Here is a 17,901-nt window from a genome sequence, read left to right on the forward strand (position 1 = left end):
AAAAAGAAAAAAGAAAAGAAGGAAATACATTACTTATACGTGCAATGTGAATGAATCTTAAATGCATTAAGGTAAGTGATGGAAGTCAGACTCAAAAGGCTACATACTATATGACCCGATTTATATAATATTCTGGAAAAGTCAAGACTACAGAGATAGAAAAACAGATCAGTGGTTGACAAGGGTTGCAGATGAGAGGAGAGGATTGTCAAAGAAAAGTGGAAATAAAGCCAGGCACAGTGGCTCATGCCTGTAATTCTAACACATTGGGAGGCCAAGGCAGGTGGATCACTTAAGGTCAGGAATTCGAGACCAGTCTGGCCAGAATGGTGAAACCCGGTCTCCACTGAAAATACAAAAATTAGGCCAGGCACGGTGGCTCATGCCTGTAATCCCAGCACTTTCGGAGGCCGAGGCAGGCGGATCACGAGGTCAGGAGATCAAGACCATCCTTGCTAACACGGTGAAACCCCGTCTCTACTAAAAATACAAAAAATTAGCCAGGTGTGGTGACACACGCCTATAGTCCCAGCTACTCGGGAGGCTGAGGCAGGAGAATCACTTGAACCTGGGAGCTGGAGGTTGTAGTGAGCCAAGATTGCACCACTGCACTCTAGCCTAGGCAACAGAGTGAGATTCCTTCTCAAAAAAAAAAAAAAAAAAAAAAAATTAGCCAGAAGTGGTGGCACCCACCGGTAGTCCCAGCTACTCTGGAAGCTGAGACAGGAGGATCACTTGAACACGGGAGGTGGAGGTTGCAGTGATAATCAGGCCACTGCACTCCAGCCTAGGCAACAAAGCGAGAATGTCTCAAAAAAAAAATAAAAGTGGAAATATTTTGGAACTACTCTATATCTTGACTATGGTGGTCATTACACAACATGTTTGTCAAAGTGCATTTAACTTAGCCAACAACGATAGCTCTTTTTATTCCCCCTTTCACGGAATCTGGCTCTGTTGCTCAGGCTTGAGTGCAGTGCTGCGATCTGGGCTTACTGCGACCTCCGCCTCTCGCGTTCAAGTGATTCTCCTGCCTCAGCCTCCTGAGTAGCTGGGACTACAACAGGTGGGCGCCACCATGCCCAGCTAATTTTTGTATTTTTTGTACAGACTGGGTGTCACTATGTTGCCCAGGCTGGTCTCCAACTCATTAGCTCAAGCTATCCCCGCTACTCAGCCTCCCAAAGTGCTGAGAATAGAGGCCTGAACCAGTGCACCCGGCCATAGATATTTTGTTCTCTGATTTATACCAAGCAAGTCGGAGGCACATAGTTGGAACTCGAATATTTTCCGTGTGAATAAATGTCATTTTTTTTTAATTGAGAGGGAGTCTTGCTCTGTTGCCCAGGCTGGAGTGCAGTGGAGCGATCTTGTCTCACAACAACCTCCACCACCCAGGTTGAAGCGATTCTCATGCCTCAGCTTCCCAAGTAGCTGGGACTACAGGTGCGTGCCACCAAGCCTGGCTAGTTTTTTTGTATTTTTAGTAGAGATGGGGTTTCGCCATGTTGGCCGGGATGGTCTTGAACTCCTGACCTCAGGTGATCTGCCCACCTGAGCCTCCTGAAGTGCTGGGATTACAGGTGTGAGACACCTCACCTAGCCTAAATGTCATTTTATCAGCAGAACAAAATAATTAAATCCCGAGGCCTGGATTGGTGGCTTATGCCTTTAATCCCAGCACTTTGGGAGGCAGAGGTGAGCAGATTGCTTGAGGCCACGGGTTCGAGACCAGCCTGGCCAACATGGTAAAACCCTGTCTCTGCTAAAAATATAAAAATTAGGGCCAGGCACAGTGGCTCACGCCTGTAATCCCACCACTCTGGGAGGCCGAGGTGGGTGGATCACAAGGTCAAAAGATCAAGACCAGGTGGCTCACGCCTGTAATCCCAGCACTATGGGAGGTCAAGGCGGGCGGATCACGAGGTCAGGAGATCGAGACCATCCTGGCTAATATGGTGAAACCCCGTCTCTACTAAAAATACAAAAAATTAGCCGGGCGTGGTGGCGGGCGCCTGTAGTCCCAGCTACTCAGGAGGCTGAGGCAGGAGAATGGCGTGAACCCGGGAGGCAGAGATGAGATTGCAGTGAGCCGAGAGCACGCCACTGCACTCCAGCCTGGGCAACAGAAACTCCATCTCAAAAAAAAAAAAAAAAAAAAAGAGAGATCGAGACCATCCTGGCCAACATGGTAAAACTTCGTCTCTACTAAAAATACAAAATTAGCTGGGTGTGGTGGCACACACCTATAGTCCTAGCTACTCAGGAAGCTGAGGCAGGAGAATCTCTTGAACCCAGGAGGCAAAGGTTGCAGTGAGCTGAGATGGCACTAATGCACTCCAGCCTGGGTGAGAGTAAGACACCGTCTCAAAAATAAATAAATAAATAAATTAGCCAGGCACGGTGGCGAGCACCTGTAATCCCAGCTACTCGGGAGGTTGAGGCAGGAGAATCGCTTGAACCAGGCGGCAGAGGTTGCAGTGAGCCGAGATTGCGCCACTGCACTCCAGCCTGGGCTACATAGTGAGACTCCATCTCAAAAAAAAAAAAAAAAAAAAATTAACTGGGCATGGTGGTGCACGCCTGTAATCCCAGCTACTTGGGAGGCAGAAGCAGGTAAATCACTTGAACCCGGATACGGAGGTTGCAGTGAGCAGAGATCGTGCCGCTGCACTCCAGCCTGGCCGACAGAGTGAGACTCCATCTCAAAAAAGAAAAAGAAAAAAAATTAGCCAGGCATGGTGGCATTCCCCTGTAATCCCAGCTACTTGGGAAGCTGGGTCAGCAGAATCACTTGAACCCAGGAAGCAGAGGTTGCAGTGAGCCAAGATCACGCCACTGCACTCCTGCCTGGGTGAGGGAGTGAGACTCTGTCTCAAAACAACAACAACAACAAAAAAAACTTAATACTGCTGCAGTCTTCAGATATTATCTTTCTACAAATCCTCATAATGTGAGGTTTTTTTTGTTTTATTTTATTTTGTTTTTGAGATGGAGTGTCTCTGTCACCCAGACTGGAGTGCAATGGCAGGATCTCGGCTCACTGCAACCTCCACAGTGATTTAGGCGACTCTCCTGCCTTAAGCCTCCTGAGTAGCTGGGATTACAGGCGAGTGCCACCACGCCTGACAAATTTTTGTAGTTTTAGTAGAGACAGGGTTTCACCATGTTGGCCAGGCTGGTCTCAAACTCCTGACTTCAAGTGATCTGCCCACCTTAGTCTCCCAAAGTGCTGGGATTACAGGCGTGAGCCACCCTGCCCAGCGAATTTTTATTGTTTGTTTTTGTTTTTTTCTTCTTTTAGGAGAGGGTCTCTCTCTGTAGCTCAGGCTGGAGGGTAGTGGTGTGATCATGGCTTACTGGAGCCTCGATCTCCTGGACTCAAGCAGTCTTCCTGCCTCAGCTTCCCTAGTAACTGGGACTACAGTAGTGAGCCACTGCACACAACTTCAATGTGGAATTTTTAAATTTTTGAATCTTAAATAATTAAGTAATGACAACCTGTGGGGAAAAGCAAGAGAGATCAGATTGTTACTGTGTCTGTGTAGAAAGAAGTAGACATAGGAGACTCCATTTTGTTCTGTACTAAGAAAAATTCTTCTGCCTTGAGATTCTGTTAATCTATAACCTTACCCCCAACCCCGTGCTCTCTGAAACATGTGCTGTGTCACAGAGTTGAATGGATTAAGGGCGGTGCAAGATGTGCTTTGTTAAACAGATGCTTGAAGGCAGCATGCTCCTTAAGAGTCATCACCACTCCCTAATCTCAAGTACCCAGGGACACAAAAACTGCGGAAGGCCGCAGGGACCTCTGCCTAGGAAAGCCAGGTATTGTCCAAGGTTTCTCCCCATGTGATAGTCTGAAATACGGCCTCGTGGGAAGGGAAAGACCTGAACGTCCCCCAGCCCGACACCCGTAAAGGGTCTGTGCTGAGGAGGATTAGTATAAGAGGAAGGCATGCCTCTTGCAGTTGAGACAAGAGGAAGGCATCTGTCTCCTGCCTGTCCCTGGGCAATGGAATGTCTCGGTATAAAACGCGATTGTATGCTCCATCTACTGAGATAGGGAAAAACCGCCTTAGGGCTGGAGGTGGGACCTGCGGGCAGCAATACTGCTTTGTAAAGCATTGAGATGTTTATGTGTATGCATATCTAAGAGCACAGCACTTAATCCTTTACATTGTCTATGACGCAAAGACCTTTGTTCACGTGTTTGTCTGCTGACCCTCTCCCCACAATTGTCTTGTGACCCTGACACATCCCCCTCTTCGAGAAACACCCACAAATGATCAATAAATACTAAGGGAACTCAGAGGCTGGCGGGATCCTCCATATGCTGAACGCTGGTTCCCCGGGTCCCCTTATTTCTGTCTCTATACTTTGTCTCTGTGTCTTTTTCTTTCCTAAGTCTCTCGTTCCACCTTACGAGAAACACCCACAGGTGTGGAGGGGCAACCCACCCCTACACAACCCAGAGAAGTAATTAAGGAAGGGTGGAGCTTGAAGGCCCAGGAAATTCCTAAGAGACAATATGAACTTTTTGATCCCAAAGTCACATCAATAATAGGGCTTGTCAAGTACTGTGTCACAGTTTACTAGAATCACTGGAACCAGTTTTGGCTGTAGACAGTTTGCACAATTTTCCAGTAGTCATTAAAAAGCTGATCTCCAATATTTGTTTTCCTTTAAGCAAACAGCAAAATCCAAGTCTACACTGGGTCACTCACGGTTTTTATAAAAGAAAGGAGTGCCCAGCATGTCTCACTAAAACCCCAGGGTCTCTGTAAGGGATCCTCCTCTTTTCCCTGTTATCCAGCCCTGAAGAATGGGTGCCTGATTCAGACCTTCCACCTCCCCAGCCTCTGCCGGAGTGCCAAAGGTCCCACTCCCCATAACCTAGCTGTCATTAGTCAAGTGATTACTAGAAAGAGGTTACAGCAGGTCAGGGCAGACATCTAACAGAACATTGAAGCAGCCAGAGTCCAGGAATGTCATAGAGGCCGCTTGCATCCCACTTGCCCACAGTCCTGCCCCCGCCACTCAGAGCGCGGCTGGCTCTTCGTGGCATGGACCCACCTCCGGCCAGAAAGGAGCGCAGCCAGTAGAAGTCTCTGCGGGTTGTGGGCCCTCCGGCCCCTGCCGCCTGCGGCATTGCGGGAGGGGGATCGGCCGCCGCCAGGGCTGCCGCGGCCGTCGCCGCCGCCATCAGGACCAGGGTCGCGTCAGGAGCCTAGGTTGCCAACTTACAGAACACCGGACGGGACCATAGCCGGAACAGGCGGTGACAGGAGGCTGACCGCCCCGCCGGCGGGGCAAAGTAACACCCGGCGGCGCGGCGCCGGCTGATGGCGTACAGCAAGGGCGGGGCCTGTGTCACGCGCCAAGGGGCTCTGCCGGGAGGGGCGGGGCCAGGACGCGGAACAGGGCGTCACCCAGGCTCGTAAACTCCTCCATCCCGCCTCACCCGGCGTTGCCACTGTCAGTTCACTGCTCAGGCCCCTTCTGTTCGGACGGAAAAAGGAAACGGTAGGCAGTGAGATGGTCCCATTAAAACCCACAACCTGGCCGGGCGCGGTGGCTCACGCCTGTAATCCCAGCACTTTGGGAGGCCCAGGCGGACGGATCACTTGAGGTCAGGAGTTCAAGACTAGCCTGGATGCCGGGCGCCGTGGCTCACGCCTATAATCCCAGCCCTTTGGGAGGCTGAGGCGGGCGGATCACAAAGTCAGGAGTTCGAGACCAGCCTGGCCAATATGGTGAAACCCCGTCTCTACTAAAAATACAGAAATTAGCCGGGCGGGGTGGCGGGCACCTGTAGTCCCAGCTACTCGAGAGGCTGAAGTAGGAGAATCACTTGAATCCAGGAGGCAGAGGTTGCAGTGAGCTGAGATAGCGCCACTGCACTCTAGCCTGGGTGACAGAGTGAGACTCCGTCTAAAAAAAAAAAAGACTAGCCAGGCGAACATGGTGAAACCCCGTCTCTACTAAAAATACAAAAAATTAGCCAGGCGTGAGGGCGGGCGCCTGTAATCCCAGCTACTGGGGAGGCTGAGGCAGGAGAATTGGTTGAACCCAGGAGGCGGAGATTGCAGTGAGCCTAGATCGCACCATTGCACTCCAGCCTGGGCGACACAGCGAGACTACGCCTCAAAAAAATAAAAAATAAAAAGGCCCACAACCTTAGAAAGCTCTCTCCTGTCTCGTCCCTTGACCTATATTGACCACTGACCAGTAATCGCCTATCGCGCTTTTTTTTTTTTTTTTTTTGAGACGGAGTCTCGTTCTGTTGCCCAGGCTGGAGTGCAGTGGCGAGATCTCTGCTCACTGCAACCTCCACCCCCTGGGTTCAAGCAATTCTCCTGCCTCAGCCTCCCTAGTAGGTGGGATTATAGGCGTGCAATACTACCCCTGGTTACTTTTTGTATTTTTAGTAGAGACGGGGTTTCCAACGTATTGGTCAAGGCTGGTCCGAACTGCTGACCTCATCGGATCCGCCCTCCTCGGCCTCCCAAAGTGCTGGAATTGCAGGCGTGAGCCTCTGCGCCCTGCTCTCGGAGCTGTATTCTGACCTCCCTAAGATGCAGCCTTTCTTTTTTTTTTTTTTTTTTTTTTTTGAGACGGAGTCTCGCTGTGTCGCCCAGGCTGGAGTGCACTGGCCTGATCTCGGCTCACTGCAAGCTCTGCCTCCCGGGTTCACGCCATTCTCCTGCCTCAGCCTCCTGAGTGGCTGGGACTACAGGCGCCCACCACCACGCCCGGCTAATTTTTTGTATTTTTAGTAGAGACGGGGTTTCACCGTGTTAGCCAGGATGGTCTCCATCTCCTGACCTCGCGATCCGCCTGCCTCGGCCTCCCAAAGTGCTGGGATTACAGGCATGAGCCACGGCGCCCGGCCAAGATGCAGCCTTTCTAACCTGCGGCTTCTCGCTTTTTCAGGCATGTTTTGACTTGCTTCCATCTCCCACCAAATCAGCTCTGCCTTGTCAGAGCTCCTCACTGAACACCAATTTCTGCCCTCCCTAAATCCCCCACTAAGCTTCCATTCCTCCCCTACCACCTCTGCAAAAAAAAAAAAAAAAAAAAAAAAAAACACACACAACCAGGCCTGGGGCGGTGGCTCATGCAGTAATCCCAGGATTTTGGGATGCCACGACTGGCGGACCACCAAAGGTCAGGAGTTCGAGACCAGCCTGGCCAACATGGTGAAACCTTGTCTCTACTAAAAATACAAAAATTAGCCAGGCGTGGTTGTGGGTGCCTGTGGGTGCCAGTAATCCCAGCTACTCGGGAGGCCGAGGCAGGAGAATCGGTTGAACCTGGGAGGCGGAGGTTGCAGTGAGCTGAGATTGCACCGTTGCACTCCAGCCTGGGCGACAAGAGCAAAACTCCGTCTCAAAAAAAAAAAAAAAAAATATATATATATATATATATATACACACACACACACGTGTATATATATGTGTATATATATGTATATATGTGTGTATATATGTATATATTATATATGCATATATGTATATATTATATATACATATATGTATATATTATATATACATATATGCATATATAATATGCACATATATATAGTATTTGCTAAAGCAGGTGATTCTTTCTTTTCGGCCCTACACATTTCACAAATAGTTCTGCCTTTCCAGGCAATCCTGAATCTGTCTTCCACTCAGTTCTCCAATTTGTTTGAAATATTTGTTTTTTGGTGCCGTAAATAAATAGCACTTGAACATAAATTTAATTTATTTAGTAAGGCCATTTTTACTTTTTGCAGAAAGGGTACACTCGCCAGCAGTTTTGCCAGGAGAGTACACCGAACAAAGGAGACAGGGTCATTTATGACCTGACGCGTCTACCCCACTGCTGTGTCCGGTTTCCATTGGCTGGAACAGGACCTCACATTTTTTGTTTGTTTCGATTGGCTAGTAACTTAGAACTTTTTAAAAGAGGCAAAGGTAGAGGGGAACAAGGGAAGGAGGAAGTAACTTGTGGAATGTTGAGAAAGGTAAAAACACTTTTAAATAAGGAAGAGAAACAGGTTATGACCTAATGCTTGCTTGGACCAGCATGCCAGGGCAAATATTTAGACTAAATTGTGGGAGCTAAAAACATAAAGTACATTGATTTTTTTATTATGGCTAGCAGATATTTAAGAATGTTAGCACAGGTCTTTGAATAAATTTTGCTTTTAAAAGAAGTTGGCTGGGCGCGGTGGCTCATGCCTGTAATCCCAGCACTTTGGGAGGCCGAGGTGGGCGGATCACGAGGTCAGGAGATCGAGACCATCCTGGCTAACACGGTGAAACACCTTCTCTATTAAAAATACAAAAAATTAGCCGGGCGTGGTGGCAGGCACCTGTAGTCCCAGCTACCCGAGAGGCTGAGGCAGGGGAATGGTGGGAACCCAGGAGGTGGAGCTTGCAGTGAGCCGAGATCGCACCACTACACTCCAGCCTGGGCGACAGAGAGAGACTCTGTCTCAAAAAAAAAAAAAAAGAGAAGTTATTATTTATTCCTAATTAGACGAGGAGGAAAGTCTTTGAAGAGGAACCTCTATTTTACTTTTTACAAATTCCACTGTGCTCTGCTTCCTACCAACCTCAAGTCTCTGCCCTAAACTCTGAGGAAACTTCCAGGTTCATCTCCCTGGTCCCACTGTATCCAAGACTCTTATTTGTTAACCACCATTTACAAGCACTTCTCTCTTACTGTGGACCCCACATCACTTCCAGCCTGGACAAAACTCATTCCCAATCTTTGTGACCAAAGTTGTACTGAACTTTTATCCTCCCTTTCAGAAATTACCTATCATATTTTTTCTAAATACTTACTCCAGCCTTCCCTTTACAGATACTGATCTCTTTCTTTTTCTGTGCATGTGCCTCTGCAAAACGTGCATTTGCAGATGTTCTAGTGTCCCAGAGCTTAGTCTATGGGTCTCTTCTATGATTTTATTTGCTCTTAGAGATCTCACCCAACCTCATGGCTTTTTTCTTTCTTTTTTTGAGTTGAAGTTTCCCTCTTATTGCCCAGGCTGGAGTTCAATGGCACAATCTCGGCTCACTGCAATCACCACCTCCCAGGTTCAAGCAATTCTCCTGCCTCAGCCTCCCAGGTAGCTGGGATTACAGGCATGCACCACCAGGCCTGGCTAATTTTGTATTTTTAGTAGAGACAAGGTTTCACTATGTTGGTCAGGCTGGTCTCAAACTCCTGACCTCAGGTGATCCACCCACCTTGGCCTCCCAAAGTTCTGTGATTACAGGCATGAATCACTGCCCCCAGCCCCGCACCCCCCACCTTTTTTTTTTTTTTTTGAGGCAAGGTCTCTTGCTCTGGCTGAAGTACAGTGGCAAGATCACAGCTCACTGCTCACTGCAACCTCAAACTCCAGAGCTCAAGTGATCCTCTCACCTCAGCCTCCCAAGTAGCTGGGACTACTGGCATGCACCACTATGTCTGGCTAATTTGTTTTTAAATTTCTTTTTTTTTTTTTTCAGACAGAGTTTCACTCTTGTCACCCAGGCTGGAGTGTAATGGCACGATCTCAACTCACTGCAACCTCTGCCTTCAGGGTTCAAGTGATTCTCCTGCCTCAGTCTCCCAAGTAGCTGGGATTACAGGCGCCCACCACCAGGCCCAGCTAATTTTTGTATTTTTAGTAGAGACAGGGTTTCACCATGTTGGCCAGGTTGGTCTTGAACTTCTGACCTCAGGTGATCTGCCCACCTTGGCCTCCTGAAATGCTGGGATTACACGCGTGAGCCGCCTCGCCCAGCCTGTTTTTTAATTTTTTGTAGAGACAAGGTCTCACTCTGTTGCCCAGACTGCTCTCGAACTCCTAGCTTCAAGTAATACCACCTCAGCCTCCCAAAGTGCTAGGATGACAGGTGTGAGCCATGTGCCCGGTCTCCAACTATGGTTTTTTTTTTTAGACGAAGTCTTGCTCTGTCGCCCAGGCTGGAGTGCAGTGGCACGATCTCTGCTCACTGCAATCTCCGCCTCCCGGAGTCAAGTGATTCTCCTACCTCAGCCTCTGGAGTAACTGGGATTACAGGCGCGTGCCACCATGCCATGCTAATTTTTGTATTTTCAGTAGAGACAGGGTTTCACCATGTTGGCCAGGCTGGTCTTGAACTCCTGATCTCATGATGTGCCTGCCTCGGCCTCCCAAAGTGCTGGGATTACAGGCATGAGCCACAACCAGGCGTGGTGGCGCATACCTGTAATCCCAGCTACTCAAGAGGCTGAGGCAAGAGAATTGCTTGAACCTGGGAGGCAGAGGTTGCTGTGACCTGAGATCATGCCATTGCACTCCAGCCTGGGCAACAAGAGCGAAATTCCGTCTCAAACAAACAAAAACAAACAAAAAAAACCCCCTCTGATGGCTTCCCATTCCACATAGAGAAAGCTGAAATCCTTACAATGACTTTGTGAATTCCTACTAAATCTCTGACCTCCACAACTAGGACTCCCCTCAGTCATGCTGGCCTCTTTGTTGTTTTTCATAAACACCAAACATGCTTCCTTCGGGGACTATGCATGTGCTATGTCTTCTGCCTGTACTGCTAGATATTCCTCGTAACTTCCTCCTTCTCTCCCCTCCAAGTATTTAGACAAAATGACACCTGAAAGAGGCCTTGCCTAACTACGATATTTAAAATTACCAATCCATACCACAATTCACTATCCTTTTCTCTCCTTTTTATTATAATAATAATAATAATTATTATTATTATTATTATTATTTTGAGACAGAGTCTCGCTCTGTCACCAGGCTGGAGTGCAGTGGCGCGATCTCCACTCACTGCACCCTCCGCCTCCTGGATTCAAGCGACTCTCTTGCCTCAGCCTCCCGAGTAGCTGGGATTACAGTCACAAGCCACCATACTCGGCTAATTTTCTTGTATGTATATATATGTGTGTGCATATATATATATATATATATATATATATATATATATGCACACACACACACATTTTTTTCTGTGTGTTTTTTTTTTTTTTTGAGATGGAGTCTCACTCTTGTAGCCCAGGCTGGAGTGCAAAGGCACGATCTCAGCTCACTGCAACCTCCGCCTCCCGGGTTCAAGCAATTCTCCCGTCTCAAGCTCCTGAGTAGCTGGGACCACAGGCGCATGCCACCATTCCCGGCTAATTTTTGTATTTTTAGTAGAGATGGGGTTTCACCATATTGGCCAGGCTGGTCTCAAACTCCTGACCTCAGGTGATCTGCCCACCTCGGCCTCCCAACATGCTGGGATTACAGGCATGAGCCACCTCACCCGGCCAAAATAAAGTCACTCTTGGCCCCACATTCTACCCCTCTAATGCATCTATTACAATCTGATGCACCTACTTCTTCTGCGATGGCCCCTGAGCCTTATGGGAGACGCTGAAGTTATTTCCATGGTGTGGGTGACATGCTGCATCAGTTTGTTTTCTAGTTGTAAGCAGAGGCTGCAGCAACAATACAACAGACGAGATATCATAGGTCAAATATAAGGCACAGAATTAAAAATGCCTTTGTCACCACGTTTACCCATAGCCAAACCAGGAGGAGAGCCACTGGGAGAAAGAAAGGGTAGAGAAACACACTTCAGAAAGAGGTTCATTTCTCCTTCTGTAGGGCAGAGCACCAGGAGGAACAGAAGACTGTGAGTGGAAATATAAATGTTTAGTAGATACTTGGTGGGGGAGTTCTTCTCCATCAAGCGGAATTACTATGGTAGTTTCATCTCATTAGTGAGGACATAGGCAGCCTAAGGATTATGGGCTGGGGGTGCATACCAAACATGTTGCCCAAGGGACAAAGGTGCCAGTATTATGTGTAAGACTACAGGAGTAGCAAAAGACCATGTCGGACGGCTGACCAAGGTTCCCTTTAAAAGAAGCCTTGTTCCAATGTATTGGCATGTGGAGCATTTTGGCCCAGACTCCAAAAGGATCAATGCAGACCACTTACACTGGCCAGGAAATCCCTTGCTCTTCGGCAAGAAAGGCCCTGTTCAACCTGGGGGAAGTTGCCAGTCCAACCCTCATTCAAGTGTCTCCTCCCCTTGCCGGGCGCGGTGGCTCACACCTGTAATCCCAGCACTTTGGGAGGCCGAGGCGGTTGGATCACCTGAGGTTGGGAGTTCAAGACCAGCCTGACCAACATAGAGAAACCCCGTCTCTACTAAGAATACAAAATTAGTCGGGGTGGTGGCACATACCTGTAATCCCAGCTACTCAGGAGGCTGAGGCAGGAGAATCGTTTGAACCCAGGAGGCAGAGGTTGCAGTGAGCCAAGATCACGCCATTGCACTCTAGCCTGGGCAACAAGAGCAAAACTCCGTCACAAAAAAAAAAAAAAAAAAAAAAAAAAAAGGTGTCTCCTTCCTGGATCAAGGTACTGGGGAGTCCTAAATAGCATTTGCTGTTGGCCTGTTATCAGCACTGGTAGACATGCATCTGGTCAGACTTTTTTTTTTTTTGAGACAGAGTCTCGCTCTGTCACCCAGGCTGGAGTGCAGTGGCGCAATCTCAGCTCACTGCAACCTCCGCCTCCCGGGCTCAAGCAATTCTCCTGCCTCAGCCGCTCGAGTAGCTGGGACTGCAGGTGTGCACCACCACACCCAGCTAATTTTTCTATTTATAGTACAGACAGGGTTTCACCATGTTGGCCAGGATGGTCTTGATCTCTTGACATCGTGATCTGCCTGCCTTGGCCTCCCAAAGTGCTGGGATTACAGGGATGAGCCACCATGCCCCGCCCAGACTTTCTTTATAAGTGTGATCAATAGACCCTCCCCAGTGGTGGTACTGAGTCCATGGTATGGTACCAGCACAGAATGTATTTCAACCAAATTAAGATTTGTTTCTTTTTTTTGGAAACAGGGTCTTGTTCTGTGGCCCAAGCTGGAGTGCAGTGGTGCCATCATAGCTAACTGCAGCCTAGACCTCCTGGGTTCAAGTGATGCTCCTGCCTCAGCCTCACAAGTAGCTGGGTCTCCAGTTGCATGCCACCACCATGCCCATCTTGCTCACTCTCTCTCTCTTTTTTTTTTTTTTTGGAAGAGACAGCATTGCACTATGTTGCCCGGCAGGCTGGTCTCCAATTCCTGGCCTCAAACAATTTTCCCACCTTGGCCTCCCAAAGCATTGGGATTACAGATATGAACCACCACCCCGGCCCAAATTAAGGTTTCTTTTATTTTTTTTAAGATGTCGCCTCCCTCTACCGCCCAGGCTGGAGTGCAGTGGCATGATCTCGATTCACTGCAACCTCCACCTCCCAATTTCAAGCAGTTCTCCTGCCTCAGCCTCCTGAGTAGCTGGGATTACAGGCGCACACTACCACGCCCAGGTAATTTTTCTATTTTTTAATAGAGATGGGATTTCACTATGTTGGCCAGGCTGGTCTCAAACTCCTGACCTCAAGTTATCCGCCTGCCTTGGCCTCCCAAAGTGCTGGGATTACAGGTGTAAGCCACCTTACCCGGCCCTAATTAAGGTTTCTAATTAAGGCCAAATTAAGTTTTGCCTGAAGCAAAACCTCCCACCCATGCAATGTTCTGGATTGCAAAAATATTCACTGTGTGTCTTCAAATTGCCATTTTTTGTTTAAATAAACCTTGCCACTTGGGGATTATATGGCAAATGAAATCTCTGGTCTATATCCCTTTCAAGTGCCCAATCTTGGACATCATGCCCAGTAAAATGTGTGCCTACGTCACTACAAATGCATCAAGAGTATCCATACGCGACACTGAGTTGTTCCAAGCCCTTAATGGTGGCTATTTGGTTTGCCCTTTTACAAGGGAAGGCCTGTAACCATCCTGTGACGGTGTCTTCATGTTAGTATGTACTTTTATCCCAAGCTTACTGGCAGGGGTCCATTGTAGTCTATCTGCCAGCCTCTCACAGGAGTGGCTGTCTCATATATGTGTCTAGATCTATGTGGGATGCAGCGGGGGCACAGGTGGGAGCAAACTGAACAGTGTGTTACTGCTACTGCTAAATCTGCATAGCAGAGGGGCAATCCTGCTCCCTTTCCTGTTCGCCAGCCCACTCATACACTGTGATGCCCACTGTATTTATGTGCCAATCAGCTAGCTCAGAGAATTGCAAGGGAGCCAGGGTTCTAATTTTTGCCAGGGTACCAGCCTCCATGATACAGGGGTGGGGGTGGGGGTTGAATCTGACCAATGTGCTGAAACATGATACACAATTAGGTTTGCAGTGAGTTCTTATAGCTTTTCCCAAATAACTTTCCACATGGCAGCTCCCCACAGTATGTGCCAGTCATCCCAACCCACTGGGCAAGCCAAGTTATAAGGTCCCTTTTTTTTTTTTTTTTTTTAACTGAGACAGGGTCCTGCTCTGTTGCCCAGGCTAGCGTCCACTGGCACAATAATGTCTCACTGCAGCCTCAACCTCCTGGGCTCAAGCAATCCTCCTGCCTCAGTCTCCCTAGTAGCTGGGACTACAGGTATGCACCACCATACTGAGTCAAATTTTTTTTTTTTTTTTTTTTTTGAGACGGAGTCTTGCTCTGTCACCAGGCTGTAGGCTGGAGTACAGTGGCGCCATCTTGGCTCGCTGCAGCCTCCACCTCCCGGGTTCACACCATTCTCCTGCCTCAGCCTCCCGAGTAGCTGGGACTATAGGTTCCTGCCACAATGCCCGGCTGATTTTTATATTTTTAGTAGAGACGGGGTTTCACTATGTTGGTCAGGCTGGTCTCGAACTCCTGACCTGTTGATCCACCAGCCTCAGCCTCCCAAAGTGCTGGAATTACAGGCATGAGCCACCGCACGTGGCCAACACCGAGCCAATTTTTTATTTTTTTGTAGAGACGAGGGCCTCACTATGTTGCCCAGGCTGGTCTCAATCTCCTGAGCTCAAACGATCTCGGCCTCACAAAGTGCTGGGATTATAGGCATGAACCACCACTCCTGGCAAAGATCATTGAATACTGCCCAACTATTTGAACGGAGAACTATATATAGGCCATGGCTCATGGGTACAAACCAATTGTGCAGCTCAGAGTTCTGCCTATTGATTGCTTTGCTGCATTCCCTTCTCAAACCGTAAGGTATCTGCCTGCGTATGGGCAGCTGCAGCTACTATGTGTCCATCCACACAGGTTACCTCTGCTCAACCCATCTGAGTACCAAATGTTTTCAAGAATGAGGGTCATGCCTCCATGTACACACTCTGCAGTAGGGGCAGCACTGGTCTCATAATGTACTGGCCTTAAGATAGCATGCACGGCTGGGCACAGTGGCTCACGCCTGTAATCCCAGCACTTTGGGAGGCCAAGGTGGACGGATCACCTGAGGTTGGGAGTTTGAGACCAGCCTGACCAACATGGTGAAACCCCGTCTCTACCAAAAAAACACAATTAGCTGGCCGTGGTGGCACATGCCTGTAATCCCAGCTACTCGGGAGGCTGAGGCAGGAGAATCACTTGAACCTGGGAGACAGAGGTTGCAGTGAGCCAAGATCTTACCATTGCACTCCAGCCTGGGCAACAAGAGCGAAACTCCATCTCCAAAAAAAAAAAAAAGATAGCATGCAATTCATCTCTGAAGAGACTCATGGAGAGGGCACTATGTTATTGCAGGTATGCACGCCACTTTTGTAAAGTGGAGGCCTGGGCAATAGCTGAGGCAGTCCTGGCAAACAACGCTTCCATCCAGCCTCTGAGAGGGAAACCCGTTTTGTTTTTTTGTTTTGTTTTGTTTTGTTTTGTTTTTTTGAGACAAAGTCTTGCTCTGTCACCTAGGCTGGAGGGCAGTGGCACCATCAAAGCTCTCTGCAGCCCGGAACTCAGAGCCTCGAGTGATCCTTCCCCTTTGGCCTCCCAAAGTGCTGGTATTACAGGTTTGAGCTGCCATGCCTGGCAAGGAGACTCGGCCTTACTGTTATTGGCAAAGCAGCAGTTTTGAGTTCCACTTGCTATAAGACCTTGTACATCCCCCAGGATCTGTTGTTCAAGTGGGGAATAGTGGGTTTCAGCACTGTTGGTCCAGAGTTGTGACCAAAATCCTAGAGGAACTGCTTTCCCATGTTGGACTTGCCAGAGGGCCCAACTGGTCCCCTCAGCATTTATGGTCACATCTAAAGACATCACTATCCAGGAGAAGGGGAACCTAAGGCTTTTACCTGAACCACTAGCATTTCAGCCTTGTCAAATGTTTCCTCTTGTTTTCTATACCAGCACTAACTAGATCCCTTCTTTACTTGTCAGTATAGGGGATACAAACATTGAGCTAAATGTAGAATGATGCCTGCTGGTATCCCAGAAGACTGAGGAAACTTTGTAACTGTTTACCTGTTTTAGGCATGGAAAATTTTTATATTTTGCCAATGAATGTGCCTGGGATAAGGTGTGTCTTACCCGATCAAGTGACCCTCTAAAAACTTTACAGATGGTCCTGGCCCTTGTATCTTTTGCAAGTTGATGGCCCATCCTCTGGATTGGAGAAGGGTGCACAAGTGTCAAGCTGTTGCTGTAACACTGACAAATCTTCAGAGGTTAGCATAATATTACCAACATAACGAAGCCATATGACAGCAAGTGGTGGTGGACATAGAGTCAAACCTCTAACAATCATACCATGACAAATAGTGAGTCTATGTAAATAACCCTGGGGCAACACTTGGAATGTCCACCTCAGCTATCCCAAGTAAAAGCAAATTGGCCAGACATGGTGGCTCATGCCTGTAATCCCAGCACTTTGGGAGGCCAAAGGCTGGAGGATCACTTGAGGTCAGCATTTTGAGACCAGGCTGGCCAACATGGTGAAACCCTGTCTCTACTACAAATACAAAAATTAGCTGGGCATGGTGGTGCACACCTGTAATCCCAGCTACACAGGAGGCTGAAGCAGGAGAATCACTTGAACACGGGAGGTGGAGCTTACAGGGAGCTGAGATCACGCCACTGCACTTTACCATGGGCCACAAAGGGAGACTCTGTCTCAAAAACCAAAAACAAAAACAGCCAGGCTTCAGTGGTTCACACCTGTAATCTGAGCACTTTGAGAAGCCGAGGCGGGTGGATCAGCTGAGGTCAGGAGTTCCAGAACAGCCTGGCCAGCATGGTGAAACCCCATCTTTAAAAATACAAGCATTAGCTGGGTGTGGTGGCACCTGCGTGTAGTCCCAGCTACTCAGGAGGCTGAGACAGGAAAATTACTTGAACCCGGGAGGTGGAGGTTTCAGTGAGCCAAGATCAAGCCACTGTACTCCAGCCTGGGCGACAGAGTGAGACTCTGTCTCAAAACAAAACAAACAACAACAACAACAAAAAACCCAGCAAATTGGTCCTGCAAGTCAGGATGCAAAGGGATGCTAAAGAAGACATTAATGGCGGGGTATGGTGGCTCACGCCTGTAATCCCAGCACTTTGGGAGGCCGACGTGAGCAGATCACCTGAGGTCAGCAGTTCAAGACCAGCCTGGCCAACATCATGAAACCCTGTCTCTACTAAAAATACAAAAAATTAGCCGGGCATGGTAGCAGCGCCTGTAATCCCAGCTACTCAGGAGGCTGAGGCAAGAGAATTGCTTGAACCCAGGAGGTAGAGGTTGCAGTGAGCCGAGATCGCGCCATTGCACTCCAGGTTGGGCAACAAGAGCGAAACTCTGTCTCACAGAAAAAAAAAAAAAGAAGAAGAAGAAGAAGATATTAGCAGCTGGACACGCTGGCTCACGCCTGTAATCCCAGCACTTTGGGAAGCTAAGGCAGGCGGATCACCTGAGGTCAGGAGTTTGAAACCAGCCTGACCAACATGGAGAAACCCTGTCTTTACTAAAAATACAAAATTAGCCAGGCGTGGTGGCACATGCCTGTAATCCCAGCTATTCGGGAGGCTGAGGCAGGAGAATCACTTGAACCCGT

General features: G+C 48.5%; 1 protein-coding gene across 5 annotated transcripts in view, besides 5 other annotated features; it reads right to left on the minus strand.

Moving 5' to 3' along the window:
* The window catches only part of SLC25A16 (solute carrier family 25 member 16), a 49,526-nt gene extending 44,172 nt beyond the window's left edge, over positions 1–5,354 (minus strand). For all 5 annotated transcript variants that reach the window (NM_001324317.2, NM_152707.4, NM_001324314.2 and 2 more), the window contains exon 1: positions 5,077–5,354. Coding sequence is in view for 3 of the 5 variants with exons in the window: in NM_152707.4 (NP_689920.1) it covers positions 5,077–5,206 (130 nt within the window). In the remaining 2 variants the exon portion in view is untranslated. The remainder of the gene's footprint in view (positions 1–5,076) is intronic.
* Positions 3,946–4,630: an enhancer, noted in NCBI's record as "NANOG-H3K27ac hESC enhancer chr10:70285872-70286556 (GRCh37/hg19 assembly coordinates)". NCBI's record gives its function as "activates a minimal SCP1, AML or CMV promoter by ChIP-STARR-seq in primed H9 embryonic stem cells {active_cell/tissue: H9 hESC(primed)}" and the evidence as "EXISTENCE:reporter gene assay evidence [ECO:0000049][PMID:30033119]".
* Positions 5,051–5,260: a silencer, noted in NCBI's record as "silent region_2420". NCBI's record gives its function as "represses an Ori minimal core promoter by ATAC-STARR-seq in GM12878 lymphoblastoid cells {active_cell/tissue: GM12878}" and the evidence as "EXISTENCE:reporter gene assay evidence [ECO:0000049][PMID:35858748]".
* Positions 5,051–5,497: a biological region, named in NCBI's record as "Sharpr-MPRA regulatory region 5966".
* Positions 5,203–5,497: an enhancer, noted in NCBI's record as "tiled region #5966; HepG2 Activating DNase unmatched - State 1:Tss, and K562 Activating DNase unmatched - State 1:Tss". NCBI's record gives its function as "activates a minimal TATA promoter and a strong SV40 promoter by Sharpr-MPRA in HepG2 and K562 cells {active_cell/tissue: HepG2 | K562}" and the evidence as "EXISTENCE:reporter gene assay evidence [ECO:0000049][PMID:27701403]".
* Positions 6,003–6,688: an enhancer, noted in NCBI's record as "H3K27ac-H3K4me1 hESC enhancer chr10:70287929-70288614 (GRCh37/hg19 assembly coordinates)". NCBI's record gives its function as "activates a minimal SCP1, AML or CMV promoter by ChIP-STARR-seq in naive H9 embryonic stem cells {active_cell/tissue: H9 hESC(naive)}" and the evidence as "EXISTENCE:reporter gene assay evidence [ECO:0000049][PMID:30033119]".

This window comes from Homo sapiens, chromosome 10 (assembly GCF_000001405.40).
Source record: "Homo sapiens chromosome 10, GRCh38.p14 Primary Assembly".
Lineage (NCBI taxonomy): Eukaryota > Metazoa > Chordata > Mammalia > Primates > Hominidae > Homo > Homo sapiens.